This window comes from Homo sapiens, chromosome 3, assembly GCF_000001405.40.
Source record: "Homo sapiens chromosome 3, GRCh38.p14 Primary Assembly".
NCBI classification, from domain to species: Eukaryota; Metazoa; Chordata; class Mammalia; order Primates; family Hominidae; genus Homo; species Homo sapiens.
In genome coordinates this window covers 33644731-33664774 of record NC_000003.12, presented here as the reverse complement: position 1 = coordinate 33664774, position 20044 = coordinate 33644731, and the positions used below count along the sequence as shown (strand labels likewise).

The 20044-nt window shown below is 35.1% G+C and overlaps 1 protein-coding gene across 81 annotated transcripts in view, besides 1 other annotated feature; it reads left to right on the top strand.

Moving 5' to 3' along the window:
* The window catches only part of CLASP2 (cytoplasmic linker associated protein 2), a 222010-nt gene that overhangs the window by 53480 nt on the left and 148486 nt on the right, over positions 1-20044 (top strand). For 40 of the 81 annotated variants that reach the window (NM_001375713.1, NM_001400406.1, NM_001375705.1 and 37 more), the window contains 2 exons: positions 1260-1330; positions 19872-20018. In NM_001375713.1, the coding sequence (NP_001362642.1) occupies positions 1260-1330; positions 19872-20018 (218 nt within the window). Of the gene's footprint in view, positions 1-1259; positions 1331-5095; positions 5269-5667; positions 5802-19300; positions 19494-19871; positions 20019-20044 lie in introns of those variants that run through there. The other 41 variants (NM_001400437.1, NM_001400433.1, XM_047447764.1 and 38 more) reach the window with 3 other exon arrangements.
* Positions 5359-5408: an enhancer, noted in NCBI's record as "active region_19650". NCBI's record gives its function as "activates an Ori minimal core promoter by ATAC-STARR-seq in GM12878 lymphoblastoid cells {active_cell/tissue: GM12878}" and the evidence as "EXISTENCE:reporter gene assay evidence [ECO:0000049][PMID:35858748]".

The following is a 20044-nucleotide window of genomic DNA, read 5'->3' as shown; positions in this document are numbered from 1 at the left end:
TCTTATGTCCACCTCTTGTGTCTGGGCAACCTGCTTGGTGTCTGTTCAACCCTCCAGAATATACTACTCTGTAGGATAAAGAGACCTGTGTCTTTGAACTGAAATGCTTTCTATATGTAAATAGTTGTATTTGTTGAATTTATTGGAAGTAGGAGGTGATGTTAAGGTTTAGAAATCCTATTATAATGAATTCCTAGGAGATTTCAACTAAAAAAATTTTTTAGTTCTTACTGAAATAAGCCAATAATTTATTTCAAAAAGTATCTGTATCTATAATTTACTGGTAAGAAATGACCACGATGAGGACCAAGGCTTAAGTAAGGTTTTAGGAAATGAAATTTGACACATGTATATGGGTGAGTCAGAGAAGAACATTTGGCAACTAAAGGCAATATGTCAGTGACCCTCCTCTCTTCCTCAATTCTCTAAGTCACAAATTTAAGAATGAATCATAGCACAATATATTGGAAAGAGAAAGAAAAGCAAACTAAAAAAAAAGTGCTGTCAGTTTTATCCCATTTCACTCTGAAGAAAATTTGTATATGAATATAAAAGTATCAGAAAGGATACAGTTAATAAATACATTCTCTGAATGATAGAAATGTGGTTTTTTCTTTGTTCCTATTTATATTTCCTAATTTTCTTTTATAATGAATGTACATTACTTTTGTAATAAATACATTTTTAACTAAGAAAAGTGATAGCAGAAGTGCAGAAAGTGTAATTATCCTGAATATAAAATTAGAAGGACCAGTGGAATTGGTGTTGTATGAAAACAGTCGTGTGAAACAGGGATAGCATCAGATTATCAGTGATATTAGCCATCTCTTTAGTTTTTGATATTTTATATTTTATTGTTTGTATGTTTGCCTTAAGTTACTTTGGCATGATTTTTATATGCCTTTAAAAGATGTCTTGGTGACTGAGTAGACTTATTATGAGGTTGAAACTAGGATATTTTTGATGGATTTGGAGGAATGATTTTATGATGAAACATGAGAAACTGCTTTGTGTAAAAATTGTCTTTTCACAAACATACCTGCAAATATGTAGAGTCCTACCTATATGTGACTTCTTTCAACTGAAGAGAGATGGGTTTTGTGTCTTCTTTCAGTGCGTTAATTGTGAAAGAGAGTTGTATAGAAAACTAGCTGAATCCCTACAATTGTTTTTTCTAAGGGAATGGTGAAGGAAATTGTTTCTATTTAATCTATATGTTTTAAAAAATCAAACAAACCCAATTTATTCTTTATTCCCAGATTAGAAATGATATTTGCCAAATTTGATGAAGTGCAAAGTTCAGGCGGTATGATTTTGAGTGTCTGCAAAGGTAAGAGTAATTAAGCTCTCAAACATTTCTAAGACTATTTAGCAAAGTTTTAGGCACTAAAATGTATTATATATCACTGATTCAAAAGAGTTGATTTTGTGGCTTGAAAACTTAGTTGAGATATAATAACAAAATATTTACATCCTGCTGATAATTATCTATCCTCTGATTCTTTTGGAGTGAGTGGAAATTTAATAGTGAGTCAGTTGTGTAAAATGATACTGTTCTTTTTTTTTTTTTTTTTTTTGGTGATACTGCCTTGTTTTTTGTGTCTTCTGGGTTGAGGTATGATGACCTTCTTGCCCTCCATTTTCCATGCATACAATGTGTTTTTATACCTAGAATAATTGTTTTACTTAGTTGTCTTTAATAGAAATTGTGGGGTTGATGGGTTCTATTATATCTGTGTACAGACTATAATAGATCAAGAGACTATAACTGATCAAGAGACTCATACACAGGAACTTCACTAGCATAATCACCTCAGGCTTAAGTAGAATGAGACCAAGTTGGAATTCAGGGAGGTCTGGAGTTAATATCTGGTATTGATTTGATTTTTGTGGTTCCTCTCCTTTTTGTAAAGTTGATAAATTATGTTTAGCTTTGTTGGGTAGCATTTACCTACACTTGAGACTTTAAATATTAATTAGCCATATATGTAAAGAATATATTCTATTTCCAAAGATAATATAGGTTGCTTTTCCACCTAGTAAAGTAGTTTCATATTAAAGAGAGTGTGGTTAGTTTAGTAATATAAATGATGTTGGAGTAAAAATTTGGTGTGTGAATTTACAGTCAAATAATTGGAAAACTAGTTACTAATATAATTTAGTTACTGTTCTTTGGGTTAAACCAAGACTGAGGATGTGTTGCGGGAAGTCAGATGGAGTAAGTGAGTGTTAGAAAGATTGTGTTTACCCACATCTAAACTTAGTTCCAGAAGCATAAATTGACTTCAGTGCTACCAGTCCTCACCTTGAATGCCAGAAGATTCTCACTTCACTTCTCTGAATAGAAAGTGTTTTAAGTATCTTCTCCTTATTTTTCTAGCAGTTACCTCTGTCAATTTCTGTAGAAACCAGAAACAGTAGGAAGAGATTTGACAAGATGCTTGAACTTGTGTGTTTTCATAACATGATCGTTTGTGTATTTCAGACTAAGTTAGTTACAACTCTAAGGAAAAAAGTAGAATACCTATAAAATCTAAGGTATTCATTGCTTGGGTATGGTTTATTTCGAAAGCACTGTTATTCTTGTATTTTGTGACATTATTTCTGTTACCTTCAAAATAGAGCTTTTTTGTTTCTTTAGTTCCCATTACTTTTTCTCTTGTTTATCACTCCATAAACAGGGAGGTTCGGAGTTAGTCTCTGGCATTTATTTTTTTTGAAGAAGACTTCAAAGATTGTTTGCATTGATGATTACAGTCTGAATATTGCAAGTATGGTCAAATGTGAAAGTTAAAGTCATATTGGTCATAATGTTTTTGATGATAATATGCTGTCACTGAAAAATTCCTTAATGAATTAATTAACAAGAGGATGCTAGAAGAAGGAAACCTATTTATCACGTTGGAAAATCCCAGGGCCCAGGCCTCCTCTTCCCTGTTTTTATTCTCTCTTTCTTAGTGATCCAACCCCACTCAAAGGCTTTAAATGATAACTCTTTGCTAATGATTCCCAGTATGTAGGTCTAGCCATCATTCATCTCTCCTTTGGGTTAGGTCTAGACTTGTTAGCCTGTGGCCTTGATGACGTTCCCATTTGGCTGCCTAATAGGCATTTCAAGCTTCCTATGTCCAAAAATGAAACCCTGTTATCTTTTCTTGCCTCTCAGATCTGTTCCTTCTCCAGTCTTAGCCATTTTAGTCAGTGGCACCATCATCAGCTCAAGCTAGAAACCTGACTTGATTTCCTATTCTAACTGATCAAACATTTCTACTTCTGAAATACTAACATATCCCAAATTTGCTTATTTTTTCCATCTCCACTGCTAATATCCTCTCTAAATCTCCTTTAGCTTTTGCCTGGACTACTTCTGTAGACTTCTGTTCCATGTTTGCCCCCAGGAATCCATTTGCTACTCAGAAATCATAGGGATCTTCTTAAAATGTAAATTAGATCATGTCACAACAGGAAGAAGATAATGAAATTTCTCCCCTTAAGGAGCCTATAATCTAGTGATGGAGATAGATCATAAACAAGTAAATAAATGGATATACAATGTGGTTACAGTTGGTAATGGAGGAAATATAACTACTCCTTGTTTAATGAGTTTAAATTATTCCTAAATACCCTGCTGCCAAGTGAAAGACCATTAGATGAAAAAATTATTTTCACCAGTGTTAATGAGAAAAATTACGGTGTGTTTCATCCCAGCCCATGATACTTGAGTAGTTTTCCCAGGTAGAAAAATATATCAATTGAATACTGAAAACAAATTTTTATAAGTAACAATTTGAAGGGAAATTGTACATGAAGTAATATCATGGAGTTTAATTCAACTTCTTCTTTATTTCTGCACAATTTTTCCCCACAAAATTTTCAGGCCTTTGTTGATTCATTTTTATTGCACACTAAAACTAAAACTAAAACTGTAAATAAAGTGATAGAAACAGGAAAACATTTTAGGACAGAGTAAAGGCTCGGCATGAAATCTTGTGGAAATAGTTCATGCACACAAAGAGCTGTTGAAGATACTACCTTTTCTCTCCCTCACTTGGTGCATTTATGCAAAATAAATTGTTTTGGGTCTGTCCAAAAATGGCACGCAATTCAAATTTGTTCCACCTGATATTCTGTGACCAGAAACTATTATGGTAAACAAAATTTTTTGGTGTGTCTTTGCCTGAAACCATAATAATGACACATCATACATCTTACAGCATATTGATTTAGAGTGTTTCGTGATGAAAAAAATCATTTTACTAAATACAAGAAACCAAAGGATTTGTTGTAAAGGTGATATAACTTTTTTATAGCTAAAAGTTGTCATCTGAACAGTCATTAAGTGAGTTATAGAGTATTTGATGGTTTTTTGAACTCAACTTGTTATATTGTAAAAGTAAGTTAGGCAGAGTCCCTAAATGCAGTAGAATTAGCTCTGCTGTTAGAAGAAAACTGGATTTAAAATCTGTCAGATCGTGACTAGAAGGAGGGAACACCAGCCCTGTAGGAAAGAAAAGACTGAAAGTTGGAGACCCCCTGCGATTATGGCAGGCGCTGGTGTCGTTATGGAGCTTTCTAGACAGTCTCCTGCACAAACCAAGGATGTAAACACTAACAGTGTTGGTGGCTGTAATTGCAAATCCTTTTCTCTTTCACTGTGAAAAAAACTATGCATAATTCTTATTTGTCGAGTGTGTGTTTAGGACCTAATGCAGTCTTGGCCATGCAATCATTAGTAAAGTATTTTCTGGCTTCTCTGTTTGAAACAGTTGCTAGGAAAAGAATTGTTCTTGGAGGCTGGCAATAAAATAAAACCTGGAAATGAGGCTTTGAAATTACCTTAATATTTGGCTTCTATGAGTCAATAAGATAACTTCCAGTCTAGTTTTGTATATTTTTATAACATACCCTTTGGTGAAAAGCAAAGCAGCTCTTTTCTTTGGTTGATTTTTAAAATGTATCTGTTTGTGATCATGAGCTCCAGGGCCTGCCTTCAGAGCTTGACAATGTGCTGATGGTTGTCAGCTTGGATAGAGGGTGCTCTGCGCCCCTGCAGCTGCGCATTGGCTAGGTTCTGTCTCCACCAGAAGTAAGCTTTGTTCCGTGTGGCCCTGCTGTCCGCGCACAGAGCAGCCTTTGATGGGCTGCCTTTGACGTGATTTGTTTACGGCAGCCAGAAATGCTTCCTGCATAATGAGAGCAGTTAATCATGGAAACTGGGCTATTCCTGTTTATGCACTTCTAGCAATCTTCTGTTGTAAATATTAAAAGGTAACGACAAAAGGATGAAAACCTTTTTAAAAAGGCGCAAATCAGTTAATCCATCAGATCATGTGATTGCTACTGATTACATGGATATCTTTAGGGAAGCAGAAAATGATTGCTGAACACATGCCTTGTGTTTTGATGATTGCATTAAAAGTCCCCCAGCGGGATGGCATTTATTGGCTCTCAGAGCTTTTCTTAGATTAAATTTCAGGCAGCCAGTACAAGGAGAAACATCATAACCTGTATCCAACAGCATATGTGCAGCTAAAGAGTAATCTTAATCAAGTCCTTCTAGGCTGTGCTAAATAAACGAGGGTTTTCAGCAAGACCCCAGACTTTTATTTTGAAGTGGAGTAGCAGCTGTTGGCTATTGCGGTGCAGAGCTGCAGCGAGGCCTGGGTCACACAGTGCTCCGGGTGTCTGCAGGCTGCAGGCCGAGCCCAGTGGCGCAGGCACTGAGCTGTACTTATTTGCTGTGCTATTTGACCTCTTGGTTTCAGAGAGCTCCCTGGACCATCTAATGGCTATGGGAGATGGTGAGTAAGATTTATTTTTCTTCTTTTGCTTGTGTTATACACTTCCTTTTAAGGTGACGATCATTTGCTGTGTAAGAAATATATTTCTCCCTAAAGAATGAAGGACACTTGTGTGTTTATGCATGTGTGTACACTTGTGTGTACATTTATGCATGTGTGTGCATGTCATTTGACATCTTTTTTCACTTGATGTGTCTGTGTGGGATCTGGCAAGCATGAGGTGACAATTTACCTTGCAACCCAAGCAAGCTTCAGTCTTGGTGGTAGATATGAAGGGATATTGGAAGAAACGTGGAATATGTGCAGAAGCTTAGAGGAAGAACATTGCCTTTGGAGGAATGACAGATTTTAGCAGGAAGATTTGACTAGCTAGCTTGATATCCTTCCTGTTGTATTTGACACAAGTAGAATTCTGTGGAAATAAAATATTTAAAGAAGCAAAATGGCTTGCCATGGGCATTATTTTAATTCATATGATTGTTAATTGTCAGTGTCCCAACATTTTTCTAGAAAATATTTAGCCTTTTAAGATTATGCACAGGGTATAATTTGATTAAAAATTGATTTTGCCAGTGTTTTAGTTTGGTAAGGATAATTTTAAAAACACATTATTTCTATAATGCCTTATTAGGCATTATAGTTCTCCAAAGCACTTTTGTATACTTAATATATATTAACTCCTCAGGTGTGAACAACTCTGTGAAGTGTTCAGAGTGTTTTGGTATTTCCATCTTACAGATTGGGAAACTGAGACCTGCTGAGACAATATGTCCCAGATCCAGGCACAGAAAGCAAACCAGTACCAAATCTAGGGTCCCAAATGTGTGTTTGGTATTTTCCATTATAACACTTAATACTTGAGCTTTTTTTCTTTTTTCATTACACCTTTTTTTGTTACGAGGCCTAGAGATATACTTTATAATCACATCAACATCACAGATATGTATGAAGGGAAACCTGAGGTTCCTCAAAAATGTTTTGAGTGTTTTTTTGCCAGGTTCTTAAGGAAGACTGGTCCATATATGGAGGTTTTAACTCTTAACAGTTTCAGCCTTCCTTTGACTATGTATGTAGTGAACTCTTCTAAGAAGTAATTCCCCTAGGGGCTATGAGAGATAGGATACAAATATATCAAAATGATGGTGTTGGTAGACAGTCATTTGAACTATTATGTACATTTAAATGGAAATCTGATAGAAAATTTGGTTTGGCATATCGTTATGATTTATTCCAAGAATTTATGTAACTATTTTATATGATCTTATGGAAATAAATGAGAAAATAATTTTTCAACTACCAATTTTTAAGACAAAAGCAGGATTAACAAATAAGTTCTCATATACTTAAGGGCATTGCCAAGTTTCTTCCTTTTTAAAAAAAAAAAACCAAACCTAATTTGTAGATAACCCTAAATGTTGCATTTGGTGTGGGCCATATCCAGATTTTATTTTATTTCTTAAACATTTTAGGTTCAATGGTTATAGTTTTATATTTACTTAGTTTTTCTTTTTTCAAATAATACATAACATTTGGACTGTTGAGGAATATATTAATTATTTTTAAAAAAGTAACAACCTCTGACAAAGATCAGAGGGTAACATTTCAGCTAATTCTCTTCTTCAAAAATATATACCTTTATAAAAAATTTAAACAATAAAGATATGTATATAGTGATAGGCTGTCTTGGGATTTATATAGTTCTTAACAGTTTGATATATACTCCTGCGTATTAGTCTTTGTCACATCCAGTGCACATACACTATACCAGAATCATGTAAACATATAAAACATGAACATATAAAACAAATGGATTATACTGCCCCTACCTGATGTTTTTTGTTTATTTACGAACTTACAAACTTTGTTTATTTACGAATATACAAATGTCATTTCCCTTTCAAAATTCAAACAATGAAGGTAAAGCAAAAATCCCTTCAAAACCACCTTCAAGCCCCGAGCCCAGGTGTAAACAGAGGAGAACACTTTTATTAATACGTAGCATGTCTTTTTCTACCTGTTACTGTGCCTTTACATACATACTAAATATCAAAGTATATGGTTTTGCTTTGACTGTGTTTACGTAAATGATACCATTCTGAATGTAATTTTGCCATTTGCTGTGTTTACTCAGTATGGGATGGAGCTTTTTAAAAAAATACTATCGTGTTATTTCGCATCATTTTTTAAAACGGTTGCATAGTATTCTATAATATGGACATATCATAACCATTTTGTCTTCTATAGAAATTTGTTTACTATATATAATTTTTCTAAATGGTTCTGAAATAAGCACCTTTGTACAAACTACATGTGTTTGTGTATATACACACAGATATATTTCTTAAAATAGTCTGGACGTGGAATTTCTGAATCAAAGTTTTCATTTATTTTAGAATTGTGTTAGGTATAGCTAATTTGCTCCAAAAGAGGCTTTACCACATACACTCCCACCAGTAGTGTCTGCTGTCCTACATTCTTTTCAGTTCTGGTTATTATTAAAATTTGTCTATCAGATGGTTGAAAAATATCTCACCCTTTATAAACATCTATGCTTTCTGATAAGATTGATCACCTTCATGTGTTTGGTTATTTATATTTCCTTCTCTGTAGATGCCTTTCAGCATTGTAGCCAACTTTTTGGTTGTTTGACCTTTTTGTGGTTGTTTATTTATACTTGCTTTTTATATATTCCAGTTATTAATCTATTATCTATTGAATATGTTATGTAAGCTTAACTTCAAGACCATGTGAAAGATTTCATTAGCAGTTTTATTTCTAGGCAAACTTGGGTTTGTGAAGCACTATAATGGCTTTCACTTATGAATTGAGGGTGGGTTTGGGGGGCTTTTCAATTTAGTTGTCCTCACCCTTACCCATGAGTATTAAATCAAGTAGTCAGATAATCATGCAGTAGCTCTGGGCAATCAAACCAGATAGAGTTAAAAACCTGTAGGATTATTATGTGGTGCTGAGCCCTGCAGTCTGCCTCAAAAAGCGGGCAAGAGGAATTTGGCCTTTTGTTGTTATGCTGCAGAGTGGCTGGAAAGAAATAAGGTTTTGTTGTAAATAGATTCTTTCTAAACTTTTAACATTTCAGCACAGTCTATTATTCCAAAAATGAGTCTTTAAAAATATATATAAAAGTGATGATATAACCATGGCTTTCTAGAGACCAGCCTTCTGGGACTACACCAAACTAATATATAACTTGGTATGTGTGTATATATATATAAAACTTGATTTACAATTGTTTATAGAACAATAGCAATAAATTAGTACTAAATAGATCTCTCTTCTTCCATGCTGTTGAATATTCTTTGTGATACACTGGGATCAGGTAATTTAAATTAATGAAAGAAAGCAACCATTTGACTTACTGGCAAGAAGGCTAACTTTTCTTGTAGGGACATTGATAGAGGGAAAAGAAGTCTATAAGGTGAAAAAGTAAATTACAAGAGACAGAAGATTGGGCATTAGCAGTAATACAGGCAGTAAGTAGCAGGCACTAAGATTGAAAATAGACAATGACTAAAATAAAGCCACCCTATGGTACCTTCCTGCTGTAGCCATTGAAGGTGTTGTACAACCATCCTGTGTTTTAGGTCTGTGTTAAGGGCATCTAAGTGAATATACTGTACCTTTGAATAAATAGTGTCCTTCTAAGGCAGTCTCATTTAACGGGTGCAGGGGGTTGGGCACCAATAGTAACATATCCTCAAACCTGATGTTGCTAATAAACTTGAATCTTCAAGAAAAGGTTTACATGTTTTCTTTGTACATATAGAATAGTACAATTGATGTTCTTAAAGCTGCAGTAGGCTAAACTGTCTTGAAAATTTAAGTAGTTGAAATGACTAAATTTTGTAAAGGTTCTAAATAAACCTGATTCTGAGCCTCATTTATTATTTAGTTTGCTGTTATGGCTATTATGGCATGTGTTATTTAATTTCATTAATACCAAATAATGGTTTAAATTGTGATTGTCCCGTTACTTCATTGGACTGTTCAAAGTCTTGAATTTTTAAGGGACCCCTTTAAATAAAAGGGCAAAAGTCTTCAAATATATTTTTAACTAGTCAGTTATATCTACCTAGAAATTTCAAGATACTTTATCAATTATCATGGCCTCTATTAAACTTTGTATAGAACTGACTTTATTTCTTATAAATAAAATAGTTAACTAAGGTTGTGCTGCTGAGAATACTGCATCTGCATGTGAATATTAAAATATAGCCAGTTGTCTTATTTTTGAAGTCCTTGAATTTTCAATTTCTAATAATTTTACTAAATTTTTTCATTTTAGTTTAAATTGAAGATGTTTTAAATTTTTACTATTTGATTCTTTTACTTCTGAAAGCTTGTGATTTTCTTTAGCTCTGGGAAGTTTTCTCCTATTATTTTTTCGTAAGCTTTTCCCCTTTATTAGTTTAGTCTTTTCTTACCTAATTGTTATTCAGATATTGAACTTCCTGGGTTGATCCTCTGTCTTTTATGTTTTGTCTTCGCTTTCAAGTTTTATGTCTTTCTCTTATTCTATATTCTGGGAGATATCCTTGACTTTCTCACCCAATCCTTCTATTAAATTTTAACTTTGACAAACAAAAGTTTAAATGTGTCCAAGAACTTGCTTTTTCCTTTTTCCGTGGTTCCATTTCCACAAAATCCTGTGTGTGTGTGCACTCATGTGCACATTTGTGTGTAAAATGTTGTGTTCCCTGAATCAGGGATGGGAAAGAGTTTGATAAAACGATTCCGTAGATTTTCAGTTGCTCCTTGTGCTCATCCCTGTACTTTCTGGCTTAGAAATAGTCACTTCTCTGTTATTCTGCAAGGTAGATAAATTCTCTGCTGTTTTAGCTTCTGAGAATCACAAGTTGTGGCTTTACTGTGGTGTTAACGGTGTTATTCTTCAGTAGCTGTTCGTTCTTTTTTTTTTTTTTTGACAGTTCAGAGCAAAGGGAATGTGCCTTCTTTTTTTGCATCTTTTAAGAATTCATTGTGATTTTTTAGATGCTGATTTCACGTATTCCACCCTCGTCTTATTTTCTTTACCCTTTTGAGTTATTTTATTGGGATTCCAGTGCAGGATTTTAAGCAAGGGAGTAAAGTGATTAAAATTATTATAATTTTTTAATGAAGCATTTCAGACATACCCAGAAATAGTATTATAATGAATTTCCATTACTACTTATCATCCAGTTTCAAGAAATTATCAATACATGACTAGTATTTATTCATCTAGATCCCTACCCCATCTTTTCCCAGCCCTGCTATCCTGCTGGACTAAGATGTGTGTGTATGTGCACATGGTACTCATCATGTATATCAAATAAAGTGTCTTTTAGAAAGACAGTTACAATACCATTGTCACACCTAAAAGTTTAACCCTTAGTGTCAAATGTGTTCACATTTTCTCAATTGTTTTATAAATATCTTTTTACAGTTTGTTTTGAATCAGTATTTGAAGAAAGTTCACCATTGCAATTGGTTGATATACCTCTTAAGGCTCTATTCATCTATAGGATTTATCTCACTTTTTTCTCCTCTTGCCATTTATTTAGTGAAGAAAAAAACATCTGTTAAATATTCTTCCTGCACACTAGATTTTTTTATTGTGTTGTGTGGTGCTTTTATATTTCTGCTTTTTAATGTTTATCTCCTGTATTTCCTCAAAATTGAAAATTTTTCTAATGGCTTGATCAGAATCAAGTCTAATTTATTAGAGTGGGGTTGGTACATATTTTCATGTGTGGTATTTTGGATTTCTGTCAGAAGGCATACACTGTCTGATTGTCTTTCTTTGTGATCCTAATATTGAGCAGTGGGTTTAGGTGTTATCAGCCTGATCTGTCCTTTATACAGTTCCCCCTCAGCCTTTCATTTAGTGTTTTTGGCAGCTGTTGATCCAAATTATTTTTTAGAGGATTATATTGTCTACTTTGTGGTTTGGAAAGAAGTCAAAAATAGAAGCAAGGAGACCAGTTAAGAGGCTCTGGTAGTAGTATAGGCAGAGACAATACTGGTCTGGCCTTAGATTAGGAGTGGCAGCAGAGGTAAAGAGAAACAGTGGATTTAAGCACAAGAACTGTTGGTAGACGATCTCTGTGGGTCAAAGGAAAACTTGAGCACATTATGAGCCTGAGCAGCTGAGTAGATGGTGACGTTATTTACTGGGATTGGGGAGGACTTAGGGAGATCAGTTTTGGATGATGTTGGTTTTATGTGTCTATATGAAATTAGAGTGGCTTGGAGATACCCATGGGGGAGATACCTAGTAGGCAATTGGATATATAGGTCTGGAACTCAGAGATGGTCTAGGCTAGAGACAAACATTTGAGAGTTGTCAGCATATAGAAGGTATTTAAAACCGTTGAGAATGAATGAGGTCATTTAGAGAGTGTATAGTCTGGAGAGAAGGAGAATATTCAACATTTAATTGTTGGGTAGAGAAAGAACAGCCAACAGAAGAGACTTAGCTAGAGGGACCTGTGAGATTAGAGAAAAGCCAAGGAGAGCTTCCCGTTGTAAAAGCACAGTGTGGGAAGTGTAGACAGCTAAAATTTGAGTTTTCCAAGGTATCTGTGGTATAATAGTTTATAGGGATTAATGTTTCCTAATCTCAGTTTGTAATTTAGCTGTTAGATATAACCATAGTCACTGCTGGATATGCAGAAGTGTAAAACAGCTCAGAAATCCCAAGTCTTGTTGTTCATTGTTTTAATTAGAACAAGGAAGGATACAGCTTCAAGGGAAGAGAGGAACTTTGGTATAAGAAACTACTTAATGTGAATCAGAGCATATTTTGTGCATGAAAATTTATAGTGTTGGGGGTTCTTCTTACTGAACTGTTTGTTTCACTGAAGAAAATCCACATAAGATGTATTTTTTTCTATGAGATGTGGTATAAATTTTGGCTTGCTCTTTTATTTGCCATGTAAAATGGTGCAGTTTATATGAATTTGAGAAGCAGAAGTTTCGGGTTTTGGAATACATGTACCCATAAAAGTGAAGTGGAGGCCAGGTGTGGTGGCTCATGCCTGTAATCCCTGCACTTTGGGAGGCCAAGAAGGGCAGATCACCTGAGGTCAGGAGTTTGAGACTATCCTGGCCAACATGGTGAAACCCCATCTCTACCAAAAAGACAAAATTAGCTGGCCGTGGTGGTGCATGCCTGTAATCCCAGCTACTTAGGAGGCTGAAGCAGTGGAATCGCTTGAACTCGGGAGGCAGAGGTTGCAGTGAGCCAAGATCACACCATTGCACTCCAGCCTGGGTGTCAACAGCAAAACACTGTCTCAAAAAAAAAAAAAAAAAAAGTGAGGTGGAAAGTTTAAAAAGCCATTTCAATACATGTCTTTCCCGAAGTGAGAAAAAGAAAAAAAAAGGACAAGGTGTGATTAATATAAATTCACAGACCCTTATCTGAAACCTTGGGGACCACTTGTGTTTTGGAATTCAGAATGTATTAGATTTTAGAAAATTAATAAGGTCATACCCCATGTATTATGTAACAGTTTCTGCTGGGCTTGGGGCAGCACCCTATAATCAAGCACATTAATGTTTTCTGGGTTTTTTTTTTTTTTTTTTTTTTGAGACAGGATCTCGCTCTGTTGCCCAGGCTGAAGTGCAGTGGCACGATCTTGGCTCACTGCAGCCTCCACTTCCTGGGTTCAAGGGAGTCTCCTGCCTCAGCCTCTCAAGTAGCTGGGATTACAGGCATGCGCCACCATGCCTGGCTAATTTTTGTGTTTTTTGTAGAGATGAGGTTTCACCATGTTGGCCAGGCTGGTCTCAAACTGCTGGCCTCAAATGATCCACCTGCCTTGGCCTCCCAAAGTGCTGGGATTACAGATGTGAACCACTACGCCCAGCCATGTTTTTGCCATAAATGTATGTGAATTCATACTGAGTAGAATACACATAAATAGCCTCATATCAGTTCACATCATGTTTTGTTATAAACTGAGTTCAGATGAGTTTAATGCCACCAAATGAGTTTAAAAGACAAAACAAAAGTTGGGTTTTTAGAGCTTTTTGACTTTCAGGCATGCAGATAAGTCATTGTGGGCCTATAGTGTCTCAGTGCTTGCTAGGGACAGTTTCCAAGTGTTACTTGAAGGCAACAAAAAGTAAAACCTTATCTTACTTGGTCTTCTTTTTCCTTCTCTTCTCTTTCTGCCTGTTTGTCCCCTTCTCCCTTCTTGTACTCCTTTCTTCCTCCAGTCTCTCCCTCCTCTTTTTCCTTTTATCGCTTCCTCCATCCACCTCCTCTTCCCCTCCATCTCTTCCATTGTTCTCCATTTCCTCTTCCTGTATTTCATCTCTTCTCCCTCTCCTGCCTCCTCCATTTCCATCTATTCCTACTTCATTTCCATCTCTTCCTTCTCTATTTCCATCTCTTCCTTTTCTCCATTTTCTTTCCTTCTTTCCCATCTCCATTATATAGAAAACCACTGCAGCCTGCTCACTTTAATAATTTCTATCCTTCAATATATTTTAATATGCTTATCTTGTTCAGTTTCTGCACCCAATCATACCAGTCTCTTTTCGAAACTTTGGAGCAAGAACAAAAGTGCCAATGTCAACACAGTTGTAATTTGTAATTTGCTTTTTGTGTTTAATTCTTCTTTTGTTTATTCAGTAAATATTTTAGCACCTACTGTATGTATCCTAAATGGTATCTTCTGATTTGTCTTTCAATTCACTAATGATCCCTTGAGTTGTGTCTAAGCTACTGTTATGCATGCCCACTGAATTTAAATTTCAGTTACTATATTTTTATTTGTAGAAATTGCATTTGGTTATTTTAAAAATCTATGTCACTTTTTATAATTTTTCAATTCCCAAAGTCAAGTTTGCTCAGTTATTGTATAGTCCGTGTCTGATAACTCTAGGATTTTAAGTGGGTCTTTTCCTATTGTCTGTTTCTTTTTATACTGTTCTTGGCTCATGGTTTCTTGTTTCCTGTTGTACCTGGTGCCTTTTGGGAAATTATTTGTGGGAATAATTTGAGGCCAGACACCTTCTTCCAGGGAAATTTTGCATTTTGTTTGGCTGTTGGTTGGGAGTACTACCAGTCTGAGCCCACAGAGTTTAAGGTCTTGAGTGTCTGGACCACCCAAGCAGTTGACCTTAATGAAGCACTCTATTTGATTCACTTCTCTGTTATTCTCTTTCAAGAAGAGCTTGAAAGGAATTGACTATAGGAAAATAAGATCTTACTTATGATTTACTTTAACCTCGAGGGTATAGTTGTTTGGTATACCAGCTTTTGGTGGGAAGAGTCCTCTGTTAGACTGCATCTAATGTGGGTTTTGAATTCTGTTCCCTTTGCCCCACAAGGCCTTCAGAATAGAAGTTCCACTGTACTGGTTTTATCCTTGTATTTTTTACTATATTATAAAATATTTATTGCTTTTATTACGTATAAAAATTTGTACATTATTTAGTGTGTATCATTGTTTGTGTTTGTAGTATTACTTTAAATAACTTAGTAATGCTTTCACTGGAGACTGAAAGTCTCCATACTGTGAAATGTGTGCCGTTCTAGATATTGTTCCACATGTTGAAGATATAACAGGGGCAAAGTTGACAAAAGTTTTTAATCCCACAGCTCATATATTTCAGTAGCAGGACACAGATAAGCAAAATAAGTAAAATATATAGATGATAAGTGCTAGGAAAAAATAACACAGGCAGGGATACATCAGAGTACCAGGGTGTTGGGAAGTTTGTGATTTTAGTATCCAGAGAAAACTTCTTTGAGAAGGCAGCAGATGAATAAAGACATGAAGATGGTGAGTGAACAGTATGGATGTGGATGAAAAAAGCATTCTAGGCAGAAGAAGCAAGGCAAAGGCCCTGCCATTGAATCATAGAAGGGAGGCTAGGCTGGTGGGGGGATTAGAGAGAAAGAAGTAGGAGATAAGGTTGGAGAGACCTGTGTGACCGTTAAGATCTTAGAGTTCTGGTAGACCTTTTTATGTAGTCATAGGAGGATTTTGAACAGTGATGTGATATGACTTTGTTCAACCCAGGATGCCATGTTGAGAATAAACTTTAGGGGATGAGGTAAGCAGCAGGAAGAGTTAGTTGGCTGTGACAGTTATTCCTAGACTGTTCTAGGTAATGGGGTTGCAGCATGAACAAGACAGTTTCTTCTCCTTAAGAAGCTTCCAATCCACATATAAAAATCAGTGTCTATTATTTCAGTAAGTGATAGCTGCTAGGAAGAAAATAATTGAGGCTTGTTTTGATATTTCATAGTTATTTAGAAAAAAATTCAAGCCCAGAATATTTATAACCTTTTACAAATGTTTAACAAAAATTTTAAATTTTAGGGCTAGTGATAATGAATTAGTTTTATGAATTCTTTTAGCTGATAGTAATAAAAACCATAACCTTATTGGAAGTGGGTAAAATTTTATTTCTTCCTATGTTTCTAGATTTATTTATTTTTCCTTTTTAGTTTTTCAGTTTTTGTTTTATATATATGAAGCTGTGTTACTGGGTACATAAATATTCAGGGTTCTGATTTTTTTCCCGTGGAATAACCGCTTTCTCATTATTAAACATCTCTCTTTATCTCCAGTAATGCTTTTTCAAGCTGCTTTGTTTGAAATTAGTGTAGCTACACCAGCTTTCTTTTGATTTGTGTTTTCCTTTAGTCTGTCTTTCCCTAACCTTTTTGTGACCTTATAGGTAAAAATATATCTCATTTAAGCAACCTATTTTTAAAAATTCAGCCTGGGTCTTTCACTTTTACTAGTTCATTTATATTTAAGAGAATTACTGATATCCTTGGTTTTATATTTACTATTTTATTTTCTATCGTATCCACTTGTTTTATTTTTCTTTTTGTATCTCTTCTTTTCAGTTAATCAGATATTTTAAATTTATTTTCATTTTCTTCTATGTGTATACTTACTCTTTTTTTTTTTGCAGACGGAATCTCGCTCTGTTGCCCAGGCTGGAATGCAGTGGTGCGATCTCAGCTCACTGCAACCTCCACCTCCCAGGTTCACGCCATTCTCCTGCCTCAGCCTCCTGAGTAGCTGGGGCTACAGGCGCCCACCACCACGCCTGGCTAATTTTTTGTATTTTTAGTAGAGATGGGTTTCACCGTGTTAGCCAGGATGGTCTCAATCTCCTGACCTCGTCACCCACCTGCCTCGGCCTCCCAAAGTGCTGGGATTACAGGCGTGAGCCACCGCGCCCGGCCTACTTACTCTTCTTTTAGTAGTTAGCCTAGAGCAGAGATTGGCAAACTGTTGCTTGCGGATCAAAACCATCTGCCCTCCTGTTTTTGTATATAAAATTTTATTGAAGCACAACTGCACTCGTTTGTTTACATATTGTGTGTATATAACTGCTTTGGAGCTATAATGTCATAATTGAGTAGTTGCATGGAAAGGCCGTATGTGTATGGTTTACAAAGCCTAAAATATTTGCTGTGTGGTCCTTTATAGAAAAAGAATGCCATCCCCTCCCCTAGGGGAGTGATTCTTAAACTCAATCATGCATCAGAATGACTGGGAGGGCTTGTATGTTAATACATAGATTACTCTAGAGTTTCTGATTCAGTAGGTTTGGGTTGGGGCCCAGGAATTTGCATTTTTAACAAATTGCCCGGTGATGCTCAGCTGCTGGTATAGGGGCCACATTTTGAGGACTGGTGCCATAGATATTACTATGCATCTTTGACTTATAATCTAAAATAAATTATTAATCTAAAATCTAATTATATATAGTTATAATCTAAAATAATCTAAAATAAATTATTGTGTTTACTACTTCCTCAGTAAGGCTCAAATCTTTAGAAACCTTTGACTTTGTTTGCTTACCTTTTAGTAGTACCATTTTATAATAACCTCATACTGGAACAGCCCATGTCTTGTCGGTAGTAGAATGGATATTAATAAATTGTGGTACTTTCACACAGTAGAAAACTATCAGCAATGAAAATGAATCTTCCAAACATTATCCTTCCAACATTGAGTAAAAAGAAGCTAGATACCAGAATACATATTGTATGATTCATTTTATATAATGTTCAAAAATGAACAAAACCAAGTGTTAGAATTCGAGACTAGTTAGCTTTGGTAGTAAATGTAGACTTTTAGGAGTCTCGAGGGTACTTACACGATGCTGGTAATCTGTGGATCTGGATACTGGTTATACTGGCATGATCATTTTGTGAAAATTAATTAGCTGTGTACTTATGATTTGTATACTTTGCTGTATTTTGATAAAAACTTTAAAAATTAATTTCCCAGTAGTTTGAGAAAAGAGTTAATTTTTTTTTTAATGGTAGGGACATATTTACTCTTTTCAATTCTTGTGTGTGTGTAGGAACAGAATACTGTTTCCATGGGAACTTCTGGCTGCTCTGTGTTTTAGTGCTTAACTTTCTGTAGATTTGTATGTCTACTCTTTCTTAGCTGCATTTTTTTTAACATAACAGTAGCAAAGAAGTTTATTTGGAATTGTATTAGTGTTTTTAACAAAGCCGTCTATGTACTGCATAGGTTTTAAGCTTATTAATTTATCCAAACTGACTCCCTAATAGTGTTATGCTAAAAAAATAATTTTTTAAGAGTAGAAGATAATTTTTTCCTGCAAGTTGTATTACTTAAAAACACTTTCTGAAATAGAATGTGACTTTAGAGTGTCTATTTGATTCTTTTTTCTTTTAATAAATAAGTCTTAAAACTTTCTTGGCATATTTTAAGATATATTTAATAGTTAAATAGTTATATATTAAAAATAGTTATTTTTCTTTAAAATATTTAATAATATCTCTTTATAGGAATTATTTAATTCTAGGTGATTGGGTGTTTGTTTAAGTAAAGAAAGTTCATTGAAAGGAAAAGATTCTGGCATATTCATCTGAAGCGTGTGGTAAAGCTGCTTCTCTGCCTCGCCCATGTTGTTTGTCATGGTTGATTTGTGCAGGGTCCTAGAGAAAACCATCTCTTCTCAGGAGAGTAAAATACATTGTGTGTGTGTGTGTGTGTGTGTGTGTGTGTGTGTGTGTGTGTGTGTATGCTGGGAGATGTTTCATTTGCATATAAGTAGATGATACTAGTGTGGTCATTCATATTCCGAAAGGAGCCTTGTAGAATCATTTATGAAAACAAATTGTTTTGTTTGGTTTCTATGGCTTAAATAAAGAGCAGATTTTAAGATTACAGAGTTAATTATGCACAGTAATGAGCACTGTGGCAGTCTATGCTTTACTGATGCAATAAGCATCCCAGCAGAATGAATATTGCATAAAACCTTATTTTCTATTTATATAAATTTTCATGTCAAATAAGAAAAACAGATTTCTAAGCCTTTAGTTTTGAATGCCTTTGAAATTTTGATATAGAATAAGGATTATAGCTAATAGAGAATTTTTTAGATGCATGGAGAATTTTTACCTTTCATCTGGCAGTAGCTGCCATAAGATGATGTCACCTTGTAGCTGATTGGCTGTTACAGCACCTAGGGCAGGGAAGAGAAAGAAAAATGCCGGCACAAACCTCAGTGGTGGTTCTGTGGTTGTTTCTGTCTTTTTTTGATAGAATCTTTGATTAGTATCGAATTTACTGTATTTGGCCATGTGAACTATTGGGAGCCTCCTAGGGTGAGGGAAATTAAGAGCTTTCAGAGGAATGAGGCGACTGATTTGCAAACGGATCTGTGATTGTAAGTTGCAGAATCTGGGTATAAGGAATAAGGCAGGGCGTGCTAGAAGATACACTATGGGAGGAGCTGGCAGAAAATGCAGAGTAGCAAAAACATGAAAAATACTTTTACTACCTTTAGAGTTAAAATGTTTTATGTTTTGACTTAATATGTATAAGTAAGAAGTATGAAAATACTGCATTTTGATTTTGAATTACAGAGGATTATTTTATATGGTGTTAGCCAATATATAAATGCTTATTCAAAGGACCTTTATTTCGTATTATATATCTTACCAAAGTAATGATTTTATATATGGCTTTATTTTATTTTTGAGCTTTAGGGAAAATGGAACAAAGCTTAGTTCTCTTAAATACATTTTTCTGATGCTTTGTGCAGATAAAAGCTTCGATGATGAAGAATCAGTGGATGGAAATAGGCCATCATCAGCTGCATCAGCCTTCAAGGTTCCTGCACCTAAAACATCCGGAAATCCTGCCAACAGTGCAAGGAAGCCTGGTTCAGCAGGTGGCCCTAAGGTTGGAGGTAATGTAAATCCATTTCAAATCTGT